This window comes from Homo sapiens, chromosome 4, assembly GCF_000001405.40.
Source record: "Homo sapiens chromosome 4, GRCh38.p14 Primary Assembly".
Classification (NCBI taxonomy): Eukaryota; Metazoa; Chordata; class Mammalia; order Primates; family Hominidae; genus Homo; species Homo sapiens.
In genome coordinates, this window is record NC_000004.12 from 40,136,619 (window position 1) to 40,158,887 (window position 22,269).

The 22,269-nt window shown below is 40.1% G+C and overlaps 1 protein-coding gene across 12 annotated transcripts in view, besides 2 other annotated features; it reads left to right on the plus strand.

Annotated features, from left to right (window-relative positions):
* N4BP2 (NEDD4 binding protein 2) overlaps positions 1–22,269 on the plus strand; it is a 133,621-nt gene that overhangs the window by 79,769 nt on the left and 31,583 nt on the right. For 7 of the 12 annotated variants that reach the window (NM_001318359.2, NM_018177.6, XM_047415957.1 and 4 more), the window contains 5 exons: positions 326–464; positions 6,055–6,243; positions 8,014–8,182; positions 16,162–16,285; positions 17,574–21,634. In NM_001318359.2, coding sequence (NP_001305288.1) covers positions 326–464; positions 6,055–6,243; positions 8,014–8,182; positions 16,162–16,285; positions 17,574–17,619 — 667 coding nt within the window. In that variant the 3' untranslated portion in view covers positions 17,620–21,634. Of the gene's footprint in view, positions 1–325; positions 465–6,054; positions 6,244–8,013; positions 8,183–16,161; positions 16,286–17,573; positions 21,635–22,269 lie in introns of those variants that run through there. The other 5 variants (XM_011513716.3, XM_047415954.1, XM_047415953.1 and 2 more) reach the window with 4 other exon arrangements.
* Positions 2,581–3,174: an enhancer, noted in NCBI's record as "H3K27ac-H3K4me1 hESC enhancer chr4:40140819-40141412 (GRCh37/hg19 assembly coordinates)". NCBI's record gives its function as "activates a minimal SCP1, AML or CMV promoter by ChIP-STARR-seq in primed H9 embryonic stem cells {active_cell/tissue: H9 hESC(primed)}" and the evidence as "EXISTENCE:reporter gene assay evidence [ECO:0000049][PMID:30033119]".
* Positions 10,973–11,754: an enhancer, noted in NCBI's record as "H3K27ac hESC enhancer chr4:40149211-40149992 (GRCh37/hg19 assembly coordinates)". NCBI's record gives its function as "activates a minimal SCP1, AML or CMV promoter by ChIP-STARR-seq in naive H9 embryonic stem cells {active_cell/tissue: H9 hESC(naive)}" and the evidence as "EXISTENCE:reporter gene assay evidence [ECO:0000049][PMID:30033119]".

Below are 22,269 nucleotides of genomic sequence, written 5' to 3' on the forward strand. Positions count from 1 at the left end.
CTCAAGTGATCCACCCGCCTCGGCCCCCCGAAGTGCTGGGATTACAGGCGTGAGCTACTGTGCCTGGCTGAATTACCAATATACTATCTTTTGGCATTCATTTTTTGAAAATTAGCTTTTGAGAACCTATTATTTGATAGTTTCCTTCTGATTATTCTTGATTTTTTTTTGAGATACACCATGAGCATTTAATTTCAAGGTTGAAAACTTAAAAGTAAGCCAGTTTTTCATATTCTTGTAAGATGTTTGAAGATTGCTTGTGTTAATGTCCCACACAACTTATTTTCATTTATTGACATTATGTTTCTACTTAAATTTTCTACAGCTATTCATTAGAACACACAGTGCAATTTCTTAACTGTGTTCTTGAAGGGGACCCTGTAAAAACAGTTGTAGCCCAAGAGTTTGTTCACCAAAATGAGAATGTCACATCTCATACTGGCCAGAAGTCTAAAGAGAAAAAGGTATGGAGTTACTAATTTTTTTTCTACAAGGGTAGATAATTGCATATAAAAATATAATTGGTTCATTGAGTATAATAATTTAATGATTATTTCTCACCATTTTGACTAGACTGGAAATTTAACCACCAATGGCATATTTGGCTTATAATATCTGTGCACTCAAAATAATGAATTTATAGCTGATTTTTTCCTTCGTGTGCATGATAAACAGGCACTTGAATTTCTGCAACTTCTGTATAGTCTGACACAGTAGAGTATGTGGTTTAATTGAATAGCAGTAATGTGATGGGTCTTGAATATAAACATGTGGGCAGAAATATTTAGCCTTTTGGGAAAGTGCCAAATTTTTTCCCAAAGTGGCTCTACCATTTTATATTTCCACTAGAACAGTATGAGGGTTACAATTTCTCCACATCTTCACTGACATATATTATTATTTAACACCCGTCTTTTTATTATAACCATTGTAGTGAGTGGGAAGTTGTGTTAAGAATACCGAGAATTTGTTTTAATCAGGTATGGTAAGACGTGCAGACATGGAAGTGTCGTGAAGGAAGTTTATCATACTCACAGAGTTCTGGAAACAGGAGGTATGGCTTGCTACCCAAGTTCACATGGGGAGCCAGCAGGATTGGTCAGGAGGCAGAAGGAGTAGGGGGGAAATGTGGGCAAAAGCCTGTATTTTGGTTTCTATGGGAAGGAATGGGTAAGGCAGGGTAAGCAGGTTTAGGATTGGCTAGTTTAAATAATTTCAGCAGGCTCTGGGGCATAGGGACTTCCCCTGGTTGTCTGATACTCGGGGGCAGGTGGATAGTGCCCTGGAGTGGGAGAACTCCATTAAAGGAGGAAGTTGGAGGCATAGTTTCTGGACTGGTTGGTTTCCAAATGAAAGGCGTGCTCCCAGACAGGTGTTTGTTATCTCTAGGAATTAGCTAAACCTGAGGGGGTTGTGAGAATGGATGGAGATGAGGGGGCAGGAGGAGCAGCCTCTCTAGTGTCATGAAGGCTGCAAAAATTCCAGTGGCAGAATACAGAAAATAAAAGACATGGTTAATACAGAAATGGTGTCTTATTGTGGTTTTGATTTGCATTTCCTTGATGACTATTGATGTTGAGCATCTTTTTATGTGCTATTTGTCATTTGTACATCTTTGGAAGAATGTCTGTTCATATCCTTTGTCTATTTTTAAATTGGATTATTTGTCTTTATTGTTGAGTTGTAAGTGTTCTTTATATATTCTAGATACAAGTCCCCAGTCAGACATGTGATTTGCAGATATTCTGTCCTTTCCATAGGTTGCCTTTCACTCTGTTGTTTCTGTTGTGACACTGAAGCCTTTTAAATTTGATGTAGTCTAGTTTGTCTACTTTTGCTATGTTGCCTGTGCTTCATTGCCAAATCCAATGTCATGAACTTTCCTCCTGTATTTTCTGTAGGAGTCTTATAGTTTCAGGCCTTTCATTTAGGTCTTTAATCCATTTTGAGTTAATTTTTGTATATGTAGTGAGATAGAAGTTCAAGTTGATTCTTTCGCATGTGGATATTCAGTTGTCTTGTACCATTTGTTACAAAGACTATTCTTTCCCCATTGAATTTTCTTGGCACTCTTGTTGAAAATGAATTGACCATAGTTACAAGGATTTATTGCTGGACTCCTAATTCTATTCCATTGATCTGTATGTCTGTCCTATTGCCAGTACCACTTGTCTTGATTACTGCGGCTTCTTGATTACTGTGGCTTTGTAGTAAGTTTTGAAATTGGGAAGTGTGAGTTTTCCAACTATGTTCTATTTATTTATTTATTTTAAGAGATTTTGGCTATTCTGGTGCCCTTGGATTTCCATGTGAATTTTAGGATTAGTTTGTGAATTTCTGCAAAGAAGCCAGCTAGAATTTTGATGGGGTTCGTGTTGAATATGTAGACCAATTAACAATATTAAGTCTTTCAATTCATGAAATGGAGTATCTTTCAGTTATTTAGGTCTTCTTTAATTTCCTTCAACAATGCACTATAGTTTTCAGAGTATAAATTTTACACATCTTTTGTTAAGTTTATTTCTAAATACAGTATTTTATTCTTTTTCATGCTATTGTAAATGTAAATGGAATTATTTCTTTTGTTTGTTTTGTTTCTTTCTGGTCTGGAATTATGTCCTTTTTAAAAGTTTATTTTTTGATATTACTTTTAAATTAAAAAGAGAAAAGGGTCTTGCTATGTTGCCCAGACTGGTTTCAACTCCTGGGCTCAAGCAGTCCTCCCGCCTCAGCCTTCCAAAGTGCTAGGGTTACAGGCTTGAGCCACCGCACCTGGCCTGGAATTATGCATTAATTTTATTTTTGGATTGTTTATTACAAATACATAGACATGCAGTTGGGTTTTTTGTATTAATTTTGTATCAGCATTAGGCTTTTTTTTTTTTTTTTTTGAGACAGAGACTCACTCTGTCGCCCAGGCTGGAGTGCAGTGGCGCGATCTCGGCTCACTGCAACCTGTGCCCTCTGAGTTCAAGTGATTCTCCTGCCTCAGCCTCCCAGGTAGCTGGGATTACAGGTGCCTGCCACCACTCCCAGCTAATTTTTTGTATTTTTAGTAGAGACGGGGTTTCACTGTCTTGGCCAAGCTGGTCTTGAACTCCTGACCTTGTGATCCACCCACCTTGACTTCCCAAAGTGCTGGGATTACAGGCGTGAGCCACTGCGCCAGGCCTAGCATTAGGCTTTTTTTTTTTTTTACATTTTTTTTTCTTTTTTTTTTTTTTGAGACAGGGTCTCACTGTGTTGCTCAGGCTGGAGTGCAGTGGCAGGATCACAGCTCAAGCGATCCTCCCATCTCCCCCTCCTGAGTAGCTGGGACTACAGGCATGAACCACCACACCTGGCTAATTTTTGTATTTTTTGTAGAGATAGGGTTTTGGTTGCCTAGGCTGGTCTTGAACTTCTGGGCTCAAGTGATCCACCTTGGCCTCCCAAAGTGCTGGGATTACAGGCGTGAGCCACCATGCCCAGCCTTATTTTTTTATTTTATTTTACTTTACAGAATCTTATCATCCTGCAATCCTTATTAATAAGACCACTCAGGGGTAAATTAAGTGCTCCCTTTTTTCTTTGAATGTTTCATTGTCAGTTAGTTGGTATTTAGGACTTAGGTAATTTTGATTTTCATATGATCTGTTAGTGCTACCACTGATGCCTCTGCCCACCTGGAAAACATGCTGTCATGGATAGATAGATGCAGCATATTATAAAAATGCAGAGAGTGTACACAAGATGATTATGAGACCTTATGGGCCAAATTGGCAATGAAGTTACTTCTCCCTCCTGATAATATGCAAGGCACTGTGAGTCATTATGGTAATAGGGGGTGATAAGAAGATGTGCTTGCTCAAAGTGGGAGATGATTGGAAATATAATCAGAAAGAGAGTTTTTGTGAGTTATGTAAACCTTGGCCAAAATGTAAACTTTAAGTTATTCTGGAAATTATTTTTGCACTTATTCTCTTTTTTTTTAAAATTAATTTATTTTTTATTGATCATTCTTGGGTGTTTCTCACAGAGGGGGATTTGGCAGGGTCACAGGACAATAGTGGAGGGAAGGTCAGCAGATAAACAAGTGAACAAAGGTCTCTGGTTTTCCTAGGCAGAGGACCCTGCGGCCTTCCGCAGTGTTTGTGTCCCTGGGCACTTGAGATTAGGGAGTGGTGATGACTCTTAACGAGCATGCTGCCTTCAAGCATCTGTTTAACAAAGCACATCTTGCACCGCCCTTAATCCATTTAACCCTGAGTGGACACAGCACATGTTGCAGAGAGCACAGGGTTGGGGGTAAGGTCATAGATCAACAGGATCCCAAGGCAGAAGAATTTTTCTTAGTACAGAACAAAATGAAAAGTCTCCCATGTCTACCTCCTACTACACAAACACGGCAACCATCCGATTTCTCACTCTTTTCCCCACCTCTCCCCACTTTCTACTCCACAAAACCGCCATTGTCATCATGGCCCGTTCTCAATGAGCTGCCGGGCACACCTCCCAGATGGAGTGGTGGCCGGGCAGAGGGGCTCCTCACCTCCCAGTAGGGGCAGCCGGGCAGAGGCGCCCCTCACCTCCCGGAGGGGGCGGCTGGCCTGGCGGGGGGCTGACCCCCCCACCTCCCTCCTGGACGGGGCGGCTGGCCTGGCGGTGGGTGACCCCCACCTCCTTCCTGGACGGGGTGGCTGCCGGGCGGTGACGCTCCTCACTTGTCAGACGGGGCGGCTTCCGGGCGGAGGGTCTCCTCACTTCTCAGACGGGGCAGCCGGGCAGAGACGCTCCTCACCTCCCAGACGGGGTCGCGGCCGGGTAGAGGCGCTCCTCACATCCCAGACGGGGCGGCGGGGCAGAGGCGCTCCCCACATCTCAGACGATGGGCGGCCGGGCAGAGGCGCTCCTCACTTCCTAGATGGGATGGCGGCCGGGAAGAGGCGCTCCTCACTTCTTAGATGGGATGGCAGCCGGGCAGAGACGCTCCTCACTTTCCAGACTGGGCAGCCAGGCAGAGGGGCTCCTCACGTCCCAGATGATGGGCGGCCAGGCAGAGACGCTCCTCACTTCCCAGACGGGGTGGCGGCCGGGCAGAGGCTGCAATCTCCGGCACTTTGGGAGGCCAGGGCAGGCGGCTGGGAGGTGGAGGTTGTAGCGAGCCGAGATCACGCCACTGCACTCCAGCCTGGGCAACATTGAGCACTGAGTGAACCAGACTCCATCTGCAATCCCGGCACCTCGGGAGGCCGAGGCTGGCGGATCACTCGCGGTTAGGAGCTGGAGACCAGCCCGGCCAACACAGCGAAACCCCGTCTCCACCAAAAAAATAGGAAAACCAGTCAGGCGTGGTGGCGCGTGCCTGCAATGGCAGGCACTCGGCAAGCTGAGGCAGGAGAATCAGGCAGGGAGGTTGCAGTGAGCCGAGATGGCAGCAGGACAGTCCAGCTTCGGCTCGGTATCAGAGGGAGACCGTGGAAAGAGAGGGAGAGGGAGACCGTGGGGAGAGGGAGAGGGAGACCATAGGGAGAGGGGGAGGGGGAGGGAGAGGGAGAGGGAGAGGGCAGCGTGTAACCTTGGTAACTTCACTTCAGCCTCTGCACTTATTCTCTTAAATTATCATCTGTAGTTTCAAAACTCAGACCACCAATGAACAGTTTTTTCAACTGCTCTGGTTCCTTTGGATCATGGCCCTCCTCTCTCTGGCGGTGGTGGCGACGGCTGGAGTTGGGCTGGGGGTGACTGGGTGGTGGTTTTACCTCCATTTTGAGACTGAACTCGCCTCTTCCAACTCGGAGTTCAGTATCCCTAATTGTATTTTGATAATTTTAGAGAACTCTTCAACATCTCCCGAGAGTGGTTAAAGAAAGGGTAACCTTAGCGGCATAAAAAAGTTAATGATAGTCGATAAATGCCTGACTTACAAGGTAGACGCTGGGGAGAATCTATTTCCTGAGGAGAGAGATGAAAATATACGACAGCCCAGTTTTCATGTGCGTTTTGTGAAGGTGTAAGGCATGAGTTTTTTTTTTAACTTTCTGTGTGTGTTACTTATTGTTTAATATCTTATAGCCAAAGAAATTAAAAGAGACTGAAGAAACACCAAGTGAACTGTCTTTCCAGGACTTTGAGTACCCAGACTATGATGACTACAGAGCAGAGGCTTTCCTTCACCAACAGAAGAGGATGGAGTGCTACAGCAAGGCCAAAGAAGCTTATCGGATAGGGAAAAAAAATGTCGCCACCTTTTATGCCCAGCAGGTAAAGTGGAAAACTGATTATATATTTTTTGTCAGTTATAATAACTAAATACTCTTGAAGCAGATAAGACACCCATATTGTGACTAGATTAAGTTATTCTGGGGAATGTAGTAGTTATGTAAGTGACATAAATAAGGTATCCTAAGAAATGTATGGTTCTGAGAATTTCATCTCCTGCTGTTTTGAGCATTTGAAATGCTCAGTTTCTGTGGTTGCTTTTGCATTTACTGCTTATGTGAATTACAGTTTATTCTGACAGTCCATATTTCTGGCAGCAGAATATTAATATTGGCCATCTGAGAGTGAGATTAAAGGGGTTTTGTGCCTTCTGTCATGTTTGAATTTTTGGTAATATATCACTTTCATAGTACAAAAATAACATTAATTTTTTTTGGGAAGTAAAATTTCTACCTGGGCTCATTTAACATGATATTATAAGGAACTTGCTTTATTTATTTATTTATTTTTTTAAGATAAGGTCTTGCTCTGTTGCCCAGGCTGGAGTATAGTGGTGCAATCTCCGCTAACTGCAGCCTTGACCTCCCAGGCTCAGGTGAACCTCCCACATCAGCCTCCCAAATAGCTGGGACTACAGGCACGTGCCACCAGGCCCAGCTAATTTTTGTATGGGGTCTTACCATGTTGTCCAGGCTGGTCGTGAACTCCTGAGCTCAAGCAATCCTCCCATCTCAGCCTCCCAAAGTGCTGGGATTACAAGTGCAAGGTACTACTTCCGGCCAGGAATCTGCTTAACTTTTTATGTTTGTGTTGCCATATGGGTTACTTCTTTGTGATTGAGCAGAGAAGAGTATCAAACTGCTATAGGCCTGTGAGCCCTAACAGTAGTCCTTGGGGGATAGCTTCTGGGGTAGGTAACTACAAAATGTTGAAGGTGAACGCCAAGATGAGACCCAGCATTATCAAAGGATACACAAATAATAAACCAGTGATTCCTTCTTGAGATGGTGTATTAGAGTTCTCTAGAGAGACAGACCAGTAGGATATATGAAAGATAATTTATTAGGGGGAATTGGCTCTCACAGTCATAGAGGTGGAGAAGTCCCATAATAGGCCAGCTGTAAGCTAGAGAACCAAAGAATTCGATAGCATAGCTTAAAGCCAGGAGTGTAGCGCAGTCGAAGTTCAAAGCCTCAGAACCAGGGATACTGACTGCAGCCCCCAGTCCAGGGTCAAAGGCTCAAGAGCCACCAAGAGGCAGCTGGTGCAGGTTCCACAGTCTAAAAGCTGAAGAATGTGGAGTCTGAATTCCAAAGGCAGGAGGAGAACATCTGCCTGTTTGTCTTAGCCAGCCTCCAGCTGCCCACATGGTTGGTGCCTGCCCGCATGGAGGGGAGGTCTTCTTTCTGTCCACTGACATGCAGGGCAATCTTCTCTGGAAACACCCTCACAGAGACACCCAGAAACAATGCTTCACCAGCCATCTAGGTATCCCTCAGTCCAGTCAAATTGATACCTAAAATTAACTGTCACATGTGAGGATCGTGTTTAGTTAAGTTTCCCACTTTTACGACTTTTGGTTCAGAAAATGTTAGAAAGAATGACTCAGTAGTTTAAGGACTACATTATTAAGTCACTGAAATTTACCTAAATTTTGGTGCATTCTTATATATTAAACTCATTGCATTATTTAAGATTTTAGGTTTATTATTCCCTTTTTCCCCCTTCCTTTTATTTGGGGCACTATTAACTTCCTCATCACCCAAGTAGCAAACAGCAAAACTGTCCCTTGGTGATATGTTTATGATTTAGGGTACTCTTCATGAGCAGAAGATGAAAGAAGCCAATCACCTTGCTGCCATAGAGATCTTTGAGAAAGTCAATGCTTCGCTGCTGCCACAGAATGTTTTAGACCTCCATGGGCTGCATGTGGATGAAGCTCTAGAACATTTGATGAGAGTTTTAGAGAAGAAGACTGAAGGTAGGACTGTGGTAATCACAAGTTTTCAATAGAATATATGTCTTTGCTTATATTGGTATAGCTTGCAAATTCAGGAGAGTCTGAATATGCAGGCTGAGAATATCTGTGTAACATCTGTAAATGTTTATGTTATTCATTCTTCAAGAGAACCTTCTTGGGAAAGGATCCTCATTGGTATGATGATTAACATTTTCTTCATTTGTATTCCTGTGCTGTATTTATTAACGGGAGGGCATGGTGTAATCTGCGAATCCTCTCTGTGACTTATAAATGAGACCTTTCAGGAATATTACATATCTTTGTCCAATAGACATTTATTAAACTTAATTGATATTTCTTGGATTTCAATTTTTCAGTAGATGCTTGATAAAATACAGAAGTAAATAAGGTGATAGGATTCTCCCACTCCAGTAGTTTTTTTGTTTGTTTGTTTCTTTTTCTGAGACATAATCTCACTCTGTTGCCCAGGCTGGAGTGCAGTGGTGCCATCTCGGTTCACTGCAACCTCTGTCTCCTGGGTTCAAGCCATTCTCGTGCCTCAGCCTCCCGAGTAGCTGGGATTACAGGCGGGTGTCACCAAGCCTAGCTAGTTTTTGTATTTTTAGTGGAGACAGGGTTTTACCATGTTGGCCAGGCTGGTCTTGAACTCCTGGCCTCAAGCAATCCACCTGCCTTGGCTTCCCAAAGTGAGCTACTGCTCCTAGCCTGACCCCAGTTGTTTTTAAATTGAATTTTGGAAATCTTGTAGAAAATCTAGAAAACAGTAAAGATTAGAAAAGAGAAACTTTAAGAGCCGTTTAAATTATTATTTAATCCAGAGAGAAGAAAACTCTTCAAGTATATAGAAGTGTTATGAAAGAATATTCTTTCTATAGAGGATGAATTAATAGTGTTTTACTCAATAAATATTTGATTATCTTCTGTATTCTAGGCATCAAGGATAAGGTGGTGAAAAAGACACACAATCCTTGTCTTTATTGGAGTTTATTGTCTAGTGGGGTATACCATCTAGTAGGATAGATAACAGTGAAAAAATAGTTACATAAGTAATTAGCATTGTGATAAGAAAATACAAGTTGTGGCCGGGTGCGGTGGCTCATGCCTGTAATCCCAGCACTTCGGAGGCCGAGGTGGGCGGATCACCTGAGGTCTGGAGTTCGAGACCAGCCTGGCCAACATGGTGAAACCCCGTCTCTACTAAAAATACAAAAATTAGCCAGGCATGGTGGCATGCACCTGTAATCCCAGCCACTTGGGAGGCTGAGGCAGGGAGAATTACTTGAACCCTGGAGGCGGAGGTTGCAGTGAGCCAAGATCACGCCACTGCCCTCCAGCCTGGGTGACAGAGCGAGACTCTTTCTCAAAAATAAATAAATAAATAAATAAATAAAATAAAATAAAATAAGAAAATACAAGTTGTATTTAGGATAAATTCTAAAATCCCTACATAATATCTCTTGCTTACCTCTCCAGTCTCACCCTGTGTTTTTTTCTCCTTTTCTGTATATTTAACTACACTGTCAGTCTTGACCCCCATACTAGTTAGGCCCCCTGTTAATAACTTCTCACAGTACTCCTACCTCTCACAGTGTTTATAAAAAGCTTATTGTATAATTGGTTATTAAATACCTGTCTTTTTGGCCAAGAATTGAGCCAGTGATGATCATGTTTTTTCTTCAACACTCAAAAAAGTTTTTGAATAAATGACTAAATAATGGTAGTTATTACTCTTATTTTTTTGACAAATAAGATTGTTTATATTGAAAGTATGCAATGTGATGATTTGATAAATGTACACATTGTAAAGTGATTACCACAATGAAGTACTTTAGCACATACATCACCTATTGTTACCATTTTGTGTGTGGGGGATGAGAACACCTATGACTTACTCTCATAGCAAATTTCAAGTATATGATATAGTGCTATTAAATATTATTACCATGCTACACATTAGCTCAGCAGAATGTATTCTTTTTAAGCTTGTACCCTTTGACCAGCATTTCATTTCCTCCTCTCTATTCTGGCCCCTGGCAACTACCATTCTATTATGTTTCTATGTGTTTGGCTTTTTTTTTTTTTTTTTTTTTCCCCAGGTAATGTTTTTATTTTTATTTTTTTATTTTTTTTATTGATCATTCTTGGGTGTTTCTCGCAGAGGGGGATTTGGCAGGGTCATAGGACAATAGTGGAGGGAAGGTCAGCAGATAAACAAGTGAACAAAGGTCTCTGGTTTTCCTAGGCAGAGGACCCTGCGGCCTTCCGCAGTGTTTGTGTCCCTGGGTACTTGAGATTAGGGATTGGTGATGACTCTTAACGAGCATGCTGCCTTCAAGCATCTGTTTAACAAAGCACATCTTGCACCGCCCTTAATCCATTTAACCCTGAGTGGACACAGCACATGTTTCAGAGAGCACAGGGTTGGGGGTAAGGTCATAGATCAACAGGATCCCAAGGCAGAAGAATTTTTCTTAGTACAGAACAAAATGAAAAGTCTCCCACGTCTACTTCTTTCTACACAGACACAGCGACCATCCGATTTCTCAATCTTTTCCCCCACCTTTTCCCCTTTTCTATTCCACAAAACCGCCATTGTCATCATGGCACGTTCTCAATGAGCTGTTGGGTACACCTCCCAGACGGGGTGGTGGCCGGGCAGAGGGGCTCCTCACTTCCCAGAAGGGGCGGCCGGGCAGAGGCGCCCCCCACCTCCCGGACGGGGCGGCTGGCCGGGCAGAGGCGCCCCCCACCTCCCTCCCGGACATGGCGGCTGGCCGGGTGGGGGCTGACCCCCCCACCTCCCTCCCGGACGGGGCGGCTGGCCGGGCGGGGGCTGACCCCCCACCTCCCTCCCAGACGGGGCGGCTGGCCGGGTGGGGGCTGACCCCCCACCTCCCTCCCAGACGGGGCGGCTGGCCCTCACTTCCCAGACGGGGTGGCTGCCGGGCGGAGGGGCTTCTCACTTCTCAGATGGGGCGGCTGCTGGGCGGAGGGGCTCCTCACTTCTCAGACGGGGCAGCCAGGCAGAGACGCTCCTCACCTCCCAGACGGGGTCGCGGCCAGGCAGAGGCGCTCCTCACATCCCAGACGGGGCGGCGGGGCAGAGGCGCTCCCCACATTTCAGACGATGGGCGGCCGGGCAGAGACGCTCCTCACTTCCTAGATGGGATGGCAGCCGGGAAGAGGCGCTCCTCACTTCCCAGACTGGGCAGCCAGGCAGAGGGGCTCCTCACATCCCAGACGGGGTGGCGGCCGGGCAGAGGCTGCAATCTCCGGCACTTTGGGAGGCCAGGGCAGGCGGCTGGGAGGTGGAGGTTGTAGCGAGCCGAGATCACGCCACTGCATTCCAGCCTGGGCACCAATGAGCACTGAGTGAACGAGACTCCGTCTGCAATCCCGGCACCTCGGGAGGCCGAGGCTGGCAGATCACTCGCGGTTAGGAGCTGGAGAGCAGCCTGGCCAATACAGCGAAACCCTGTCTCCACCAAAAAAATAAGAAAACCAGTCACGCATGGCGGCGCGCGCCTGCAATCGCAGGCACTGGGCAGGCGGAGGCAGGAGAATCAGGCAGGGAGGTTGCAGTGAGCCGAGATGGCAGCAGTACAGTCCAGCTTCGGCTCGGCATCAGAGGGAGACCGTGGAAAGAGAGGGAGAGGGAGACTGTGGGGAGAGGGAGAGGGGGAGGGGGAGGGGGAGAGGGAGTTCGGCTTTTTTAGGTTCCACATGTAAGTGAGATCATACAGGATTTGTCTTTCTGTGTCTGGCTTATTTCACTTAGTATAATGCCCTCCAGCCACATCTGTATTGTTGCAAATGGCAGGATTTTCCCCTTTTAAAAAATTTTTAATTAAATTTTTATTTTTATTTAAAAGAAATAGGAGGTCTCAGTGTGTTGCTTAGACTGGTCTCGAACTTCTGGGCTCAAGTGATCCTCCCACCTTGGCCTTCCAAAGTGCTGAGATTGCAGATGTGAGCCACCATGCCTGGCCTGAGCCACTGTGCCTGGTCCCCTTTTTATTGTTGAATAATATTCCATTGTGTCTATATCACATTTTTTTATCAATTTATCCATCGATGGACAATTAGGTTGTTTCACCCAGCCTGGATGACAGAGTGAGACTCTCTAAGAAAAAAAAAATTGAAAAATCGAAAAACAGAAAAATGAAATGGAAAGTAATCAGTATTGTTAAGGATGTGGATAAATTGGAGCCCTCATATATTGCTAGTGTAGCCACTGTGAAAAATTTCACTAGTTCTTTGAAAGGTTAAACATATAATTAACCGTATGACCCAGTAATTCTGCCCCTAACTATGTACCCAAGAGAAATAAAAACACAATATGTCTTTACGGAAACTTGCATATGAATGTCTGCAACAGCCAAAAGGTGGTGGTAACCTAAAAGTTCATTAACTGATGAATAGAGAAACAAAATGTGGTAAATCTATACAATGAAATTTAATTTAGCCATGTAGAGAAATGGCGGACCTTGTAAACATTATTCTTTGTGAAAGATGAAGGCAGATAAAAAGCCATATGTTGTATGATTTCATTTTTACCAAATGTTCTGAGTATGTAAATCTAGAGAGACAAAAATTTGATTAGTGGTTGCTGGGACTGGAATGGCAAGAATATGAGCAGTGACTGCTATGAGGCACAGAATTTCTTTGTGAAATGATGGAATGTTCTGGAATTAGTGGTGGTGGTTGCACAACATGATGAATATGCTAAAAACCGCTTAATTGCATATTTTAAAATGGTTAGTTTTATGTTAATTTTATCTCAATTAAAAAAATTGTAAGAAGAGAAAAAGAGGCCAGGCTCAGTGGCTCATGCCTGTAATCCCAGCACTTTGGGAGGCCGAGGCTGGCGGATCACGAGGTCAGGAGATCAAGACCATCCTGGCTAACACAGTGAAACCCCGTCTCTACTAAAAATACAAAAAAAAATTAGCTGGGCATGGTGGCGGGCACCTGTAGTCCCAGCTACTTGGGAGGCTGAGGCAGGAGAATGGTGTGAACCAGGGAGGCGAAGCTTGCAATGAGCCGAGATCGAGCCACTGCACTCCAGCCTGGGTGACAGAGCGAGACTCCATCTCAAAAAGAAAAAAAAAAAAAAAAGAAAGAAAAGAAAAAAGAGCTAAGTAATTTGCCCAAGGTAATACTTGGTCAAGATCCAAGATGCAGATCTTTTCTGGAAGCCAAGGCCCATCTCTAGTGCATGCTGCCACCTGTGGTAGTCTGTAGTTACTGTCAGTCACCACCAGGTGGCAGTATTGTTGAATAGAAATGAATCCAGTGGAAGATTTGTGGCTCTGACCTGCATTGCCTTTTGACATAAGATTAAGGAGTGTTAAAATCGGAGATGAATTTTTTAAAAAAGAGAGACATCTGGACCTTATGTCCCTTCTGGTTGAAATATACACTGCTACGTACGAATCATTTTTGCCTCCAAATCAAACTAGGAGCAGATCAAACCTTTAGAACTGACTACCATTTTATAGGGATTTACAGGGGACAGAGGAACATGTTAAACAACACCATGGGGATACAGTCAGCAAAATTCAGATTGTGAAAATCTAGGATAGGCTGGGTGTGATGGCTCATGCCTGTAATTCCAGCACTTTGGAAGGCCGAGGCAGTCAGATCACTTGAGGTCAGGAGTTTGAGACCAGCCTGGCCAACATGGTGAAACCACGTCTCCACTAATAATATACAAAAATATTAGCTGGGCATGATGTCTCAGGCCTGTAATCCCAGCCACTCTGGAAACTGAGGCAGAAGAATCGCTTGAACCCAGGAGTCAGAGGCTGCAGTGAACCGAGATCATCCCACTGCACTTCAACCTGGGCAACAGAGTGAGACTCTGTCTCAGGGGGAAAAAAAAAAAAGAGGAAGTCTAGGATAAATGATCCAATTTTTTTCAATAAATTGTAAAGAAAAACACCAGGGGAGGGGAAACCTTGTTACTTAAGAAATATATCAATCAAATAGAATGTATAGACTTATTTCAATCTTGATGCCAACAAATTACTGTAAAAACATATTTTTGAGATAATTGGGGGAAATTTTGGAAACTAATGATATTAAGGGACTTTTATTAATTTTATAAGATATGATGGTGCCATTGTAGTTATGCTTTTTAAAGGAGTCCTTATCTTTTATGAGGTATGTACTGAAATATTTGCAGTTGAAGTATCTGGAGTGTGCTGAAAAATGAGTTAAACAGTCCTTTCTAAGGCGTTAAACAGCAAGAACAGCCTGTATTTGGGAAACGAAACATATACATTACTTCATGCAACAAACATCCTTTGAACTCTTACTTGAGGCATGTGAATCAACTAGAGAATATTTTCAGAGCAATAAGTGAACTATTAGCAGGTGATAATCGTATAAATGACTGACCTAAGTGATAAGGGGAGCCATAGTGAAGAGTGTGAGTTATGATTAGAGATTTAGTTGGGCTTTTTTTGTAAGTAAACTTTTTCTTTTTGAGATGGGAGTCTGGCTCTGTTGCCCAGGCTGGCAGTTGGTTGTGACCTTGGTTCACTGCACCCTCCACCTCCCAGGTGCAACCCATCCTCCTACCTCAGCTTCCCAAGTAGCTGGGACTACAGGTGCGCCTCGCCATGCCCTGCTAATTTTTGTATTTTCAGTAGAGATGGGGTTTTGCCGTGTTGCCCAGGCTGGTCTTGAACTCCTGAGCTCAAGTGGTCCACCTTCCTTAGCCTCCCAAAGTGCTGAGATTACAGGCATGAGCCACTGTCCCTGGCCAATGTAAAACTTTTATGCGTAATATAACATATGTAAAGAACAGTGCCCAAAATTATAGGTATATAGTGCAAAAACTTTGTAAAAAGTTCGTAAAAAGGTTTTACACTATATACCTAGAATTTTGTGCACTGTGAATACCTTTGTGAAGCTAGCACTCAGTTGAATTTTGAGCAACATATTGCTTGAAGTAATGGATGTGGATTAGAGATGGAGATCATAGACAAGGAATTAGAAATGCAAGAGCAACATATTCTTTTAAAATTCCAGGCTGAATATCATCTTGGAGATATGATACTTGAAAAACCATTTGTTTGTATTCTATTAGGAGTATTAGGACAATTTAATAAGCAGACCGTGGAATGTTTATATTTTGTGTGTTTTAAATTTATTAATTCATCTCATTAATAGTTTTTTTGTTGTTTTTGTTATTCTGCTACAGCTTTTATTAGTTTTCAGGATTTATATCCTTGATTTTCACAAGGTCATTTCCAAAATGGAACTTCAGTATTTTAGGAGGCTCAGACTCCTTTGATGTTTTAAGAACTATCTATCAGGAAAAGTTTGTTAACAATTGATTATCTTTAATAGTAAGACTGCAATCCAGCTGTGACTAGTGGATTTGCTAATAGCTATTACTGGAAGATAATCTATAAACTAGTTGCTATCATTATCCCTTTTTCCTGATGAGAAAATAGGCACAAAAGAAGCTAAGTAACTTGTCCATGGTCACACAGTCATTTAGTGGCAGAGCTATGATTCAGAACAAAGCTTGATGGCTTTAGAATATTTAATTAACAGGGTTGTTGTGAAGATTCTTAGTTAATAAATATAAGCCACTTAAAGCAGTACTTGACTCCTTTTGTATAGTAATTGTTAGGTATCATTAATGGTATTATTGCCATTATCATTATTTCAGGGAGAACTTCTGGTAGTGCACAGAAATCTCTTCCCCCATAAAGGAAGAAGTCCCACCAAATCTTTTGATGGATAGATTACAATGAGGCTATGTGTTTTAAAACATACATCTTAAAACATTAATTTGGGGGCTTTTTGAGATAGCAAATCTGTCTTACTATTACAGTTTTGAGATGGCAAACCCCAAAATCCTCATGAAAACAATTTCATGTGCTTGAGTAGCTAAGGTTTACGTTTTCTATTGAGAATGTAAGATAAATGAATTTTAACTCCCCTGATTTCTGTTGTAACAGAATTTAAGCAGAACGGTGGGAAGCCCTATTTGTCTGTGATTACGGGGAGAGGAAACCACAGCCAGGGAGGAGTTGCTCGCATCAAACCAGCTGTCATTAAGTACCTCATAAGCCATAGCTTCAGGTGAGTGTAGATTTCTGTTATTAATAATGGCAACTGCCCATATAGATCTTTATCAGATATTTCTGTGAGTATAGATTTCTGTTATTGATAATAGCAATAGCCCTAATATAGCTAGGTAAATAAACACTAATAGCGTACTCAGAACAATCTGTTAAAATAGTTAACTAAATTTAATCATCTGATTTCAGCCACAGATTCATGCTTAAATTATGATATAACTTTCCCTGCTGGATTTATGTTGTCTGGTAAACCAGAAATAAGGAAAAATGTGTTTGTTGCCAATAATCATCTGATAAAACTTTCTATCATAAATTTAAAGTTCTAAAAGAAAGTAAATATATTTGTTTCTTTGATAATATGCAAAATAATTAGGTAATATGTATCATACTTTAAGATTTGCTATTATTCTTTTGAAAGGAAATCAGTATTTGTGGATTTTGGATGGAATTGGGTGGCTTCTATTGAAATATAGTTATAATTTAGGTACGTTTAAACTTTAGCAGAAATGTTCAGTTAATATGAATTTATTTGTGTTTTCATAAGTTAAATGCCATTAATGACCTGTGTTGACAAACATGAAATGTTCTTTTTCATTAAGTGATAATTATTTAATAACAGAAAATGACAAGAAAGTCAAAGATGAAATATCTGTTGATGGATAGATTTCCTGCAGATGTGTATCATTAACTCCTACCCACCAATTTCAGTGTAGCATATTTATTTTATGCCATGTAATAAGATGTTATTTGGCTACATTATCGAAAATGATAGCATAAGTTATGAGCATAAAACAGGTGACATCAGGGTTATTTTTATAAAAGGAGTAGTTAGACCAGAACATTATGTTGAGATTAATTATCTATTTTAGAGACTAGTCTTCCTTTAAATTCTCTCCGGATAGAGTTGAAAGCATTGCATGGCCAGATTAATCAGACTTACCTGATATATCAGAGATTTCTTCTTGGTGCTTTCATGATGCACCAAGGACTTTATTCTTCCTACAGCATACTCTTTTTCATAAAGGTAAAATTCAGGCCTCACAGGTTTTGACAAATCTTAAGTTATACTAAGTCAAGAGCAACCTCCAGCTTTAAGATTGTATTTGTTTTGACCGTAGATAAAAGGAACACAAACCTAGATGTTGGTCTTGGATATTGACTTAATAAGGGTCAATACTTTGGTAGTAAATATTATATTAAGCGTAGGTACTTGGAATTGATTACAAGGTATATTCCTTAGCTAATTTGAAATTTTCATCTTTAAAATAACTCTTTTCTCATTTCTGCAGGTTCTCTGAAATTAAACCAGGGTGCTTGAAAGTCATGCTAAAGTAAAATAAACATCCTTGAATTAGAAGTATGAAGGTTTGTAGGTTAAAATTACTTTTATTTGCAGTAATTCAGTCAATTCTACCCTAAAGATGTGTTTTATTATAAATAATATTCAATTATGAAACAAAAAAATTATGATGTTTTTCAAAATGCAAGTGAGGTTTGATTTTTTACTGAATCAAATGCAAATGTTACCTGTTAAAGATATTACAGAGAAATTTTATTGATTACAAAATATGTAAGAAAATTATCAGCTACAGTTTTAAAGTTTAAAATGCTCTGATTGTTTCTCAGAAAAGGTTACCTTTGTATTAATTGTTGTATGACATTTAGTAATGTCCTAAAAGTCTTTTGTGAGAGGTATTTAAAGTGCTTTGAGACCTGATTCATGCCCCCCAAAGGGTGGTATTAAAAGAGGAAAAAGGACATAGTAGTGGTAGTAAAGAAAAAAAGGAGATCTAACAAAAACACTTGAATATTTTTTATTTTCAAAACTAAACACATAAAATGCTTTTATTTTGCCATATCCTACAGGAAGGAAGACATGCTTTTGCCCTTTCTTCTGCTTTGTATATGACCTTGATCTTTTACCTTTTGTTCTGTTCTTCTGTGTGCATTTTATGGAAAGAAAGTTGGGTCTGAGATTATATTGTAATTTTATACTTTCTATAGACAGAAAGGTTTTCAGAGAAAAAGAAATGGTTAAATATCTTCCAGATGTTGCTGCCTTATCGAAATGCTTCTAGAACTGTCTGTATAAGTCGTATTTCAGACAGTACTAAATACTTATATTTTATTTTTGAGGCATGTAATTTTAAAACTGCAGTAGGTTAAAATTCTATTAAACAAATATAGAAAATATTTTGTTTATAATTGGCCTGGTGTGGTGGCCCACGCCTGTAATCCCAGCACTTTGGGAGGCCGAGGTAGGTGGATCGCCTGAGGTCAGAAGTTCAAGACCAGCCTGGCCAACATGGTGAATCCCCGTCTCTATTAAAAATACAAAAATTAGCTGGGTGTGGTGGCGTGTGCCTGTAATCCCAGCTACTTGGGAGGCTGAGGCAGGAGAACCGCTTAAACCTGGGAGGTGGAGGTTGCAGTGACCCGAGATCGAGATCACACCACTGCACTCAGCCTGGGTGACAGAGCAAGACTCCGTCTCCAAAAAAAAAAAAGAAAAAAAAGAGAAAATATTTTGGTTATAATCATAAGAAGAATCCTTACAATTTAAAATATTTTCACTTTTATTTTGAAAAAGAGCCAACTTTCTCAAAGGAAGCTGTCATTAACTTCTGTTGTTTGGTTAGCTAATAAATTCTGTTAGTATGCAAGTTAAACCTGTGTAAAGGAGGTTATAATGTGGTAAGGTATAATTTTCCAATATGAGACAATGGCTTAAATTTGCCTTTGGAGATGGAGAATATTTTCAACATACATAATTTTAACAAATAGTTTTGTTGCTTTTTGTTAAGCTTAAAAAAAAATTTGGATCAGAAATTATAGGATTGAGCTGGTACCAAAAGAATCCTAAAGTACAGAATGGTTTTCCAAAAGAGCAGACATTTCAATGAAAATAAAACCCCAAAACATTTTTTTTATATATCATGATTGCATGCTTTTAAAATAAGGAGGCTTATCATTGAATTTTAGTTCCATAAAAATGAAAATACATGTTTATTATTTAGAAATGGTTAGTGACTGGTATTGAAGTATTATTCACACTTATGTTTGTAATAATTTATTTAAAGAATGCCAACAGTTTAGCACACTTTTGTAATCTCTAGAACAGTTCTATACATTAAAAATAAACATTAAAAATAAAGCAGTTCCTTTAAACAACTTACTATGAAACTATAATTGTTAATGAAATAAGATATTCCTATGTATACATTAGTATGATTTAAGGGTATGAAAAACAGTGCTAAAATGTGGAGTTAATTGGAATGTGTGCAGCTGCATACTCACTTTCTGTGTTTTTATATTTCCTTACCTAGTTTTAAAAATCATCACTTTTCGGCACTTCAGCTAGACTTATTTCAATATTATAATTATGATTAATGAAGGAGCAGTCAGAAGTAGAGGTGTGGTATTCCGTGGGCAGAAGTCAAATGAAAAAAGCTATATTGTTTACTTGTTTACTATATCAATGTTAATATTATGCCTTATTTTGATAAATCAAATAGTATATCTTAATCATTGTTGATAAATATACAGGCAAAGTTTGAGCATCATATGTATTTTTATGAAGCTGCTTAATTCCAAATTGCCTCCCACCCCACTATCTAGCATAGTTTAAGCAACACATAATTTTGAAAGAAAAGTTTGTAATCCCTCCTTTCTTTTTTTTGCCCATTTCTAAATCCTGTATGCCCGCAGTAAAGATAGTTTGGGGATTTTAAAAGTTTTCTCTATTACCCATTTCTAAATCCTGTATGTCAAAGATAGTTTGGAGATTATAAAAATTTTCATGTATTGGTGTAGGTTGAGTATCCCTAATGAGAAAATTCAAAATCTGAAATGCTTCAAAATCTGAAATTTTTCGAGCACAGACATGATGCTCAAAGGAAATACTCACAGAGCATTTTACATTTGTAGGTTAGCGATACTCAACAAGTAAATATAATGCACATGTTCTAAAATATCCCCCCAAACCCCAGCAATCCAAAACACTTCTGGTCCTAAGCATTTTGAGTAGGGGATACTCACTCAACCTGTATATTTGTGCTAATACATGACTCATTAGAATGATTCTTTGTAAACTTAATATTTTAAAAGTACAGCACTTCTGTAGTATGGAAGGTTTCAGTAATAATTATATTCATTCAGTAGTCTCTTACCATTATCTCCCAGATGGAAAAAGAGGACTAATGTGGAAACCCCAGAGGGTGTCCAGTTGGACCAGGGAGATATTAGACACTTAACAGTATTTTCAGTCTGTCCATCTCTTTATTCCAATGTGAGAAATGGAAGTGTTTTTTTTTTTACGTTTATTGGCTCTTCATATTTCTCTACATTATTTTTAATGTGCAGTTTCTTCAATTGGTTAGTATTTCCATACTATTTGCAACTTTATGGCCTTTAAATATAGGACATATTATATAGCAGAAATTTTGACTTTAAATCCTCTTGAGTAGTATATTTTGAGAAGAAAAGCTATACTGCTCTTCTGGATGGTTTCCATCCTTTATTTAGGTCTTTTCTTTTTGAATTCAAGTGTTTTGTATGCTTAGAAAGTAGACATGTATAATATTGAGATCGGTTATTTCTGAGCTGGAAATTGGAAACTTTGGAAACTCAGGAAATTGCTCTGACAATGTTTTAACTGCTCTCAATTTAAGAAAATGACGAAATGTATAAAAAAGACAAAAATAACGTGTGCTGTTTTTTCCAAGTGCTTTTTCTAAGTGCTTTTCCATTGTGCAATGAGGTGAAGTTTGGTAATTTTTCGGTGTAGTAGTTAAATATTGCTCAATTTTTATTTACATGTAAAGAAAACAGATTTAAATGTTTATGTGGCCAAAAGGTGTCATTTAAAAGGTAAAATAAGTTTATGTAGAATGTATGTTCATGGTGCTTATTTTTAAAATGTAATTCAAGTTTACAGTATTACTTAATGCTTCTTTACAGAATTTAATAGAGAAACAAGGCTAGAACACATCTACATCCTGAAGAGCCGTTTATAACTTCATATTATATGATGACAAAGTTCATTATTTTCCTTAAAGTTGAGCAATTGACTTTTATGGTCCAATGATGAACTTATTATTAATAAATGATTGAGTTAACTGTGAGGCTTCTCATTAAAATACAATATTGCAGCTATCAGTTGGAGAATATATTATAAAATTTTCAGACAGTATATCAGAAAAATGTTTTTATTTGTACTGTATAGAAAATGTAATTTTGCTGTTAACTCTGTACTTTTTAAATTGAAAATGTTTTATAAATTTGCTTTTAAATTTTCTTATGAAGCCATTTGCAAATTACATACTTAATTTAATAAAATACTTTAGCCACAGTCCAGTGTGAGGAAATCCTTCATTTGATGTATTAGAGTTAGTGGGTTAAATATTTTAAAATATTTTCATGTCTAACTTTGTAATTTCAGGGGGAAAGTGTCATGAAAATTTTATTTCTGTACCAAAACTTTTCTTCTGGTTTACGTTTTCTGTAGCAAATAAGAGTCTACTTTTGAACCAGATAAATGGATTGGCTATGGTTTCTCTCCTCACACCCTGTATCTTTTAACTGATATCAAAATTAAGAATTATATCTCTTAGAGGCCAGACGCGGTGGCTTATGCTTGTAATCCCAGCACTTTAGGAGGCTGAGACGGGCAGGTTGCTTGAGGTCAGGAGTTTGAGACCAGCCTGGCCAACATGGTGAAACTCTGTCTCTACAAAAAATTAGCCAGGCATGGTGGCATACACCTGTAATCCCAGGCATGAGAACTGCTTGAGCCTGGGAGGTGGAGGTTGCGATGAGGCGAGATTGTGCCACTGAGCTCCAGCCTGGGCAACAGAGTGAGACCATCTCAAAAAAAAAAAGAATCTCTTAGAGACTCAAGTAATGCTTTAAATAATATTAATGACCTTGGAACTTTATATTCGAGTCCAAAGCAGAATTCACTCATTTTGCAAGGACTTAAAAACA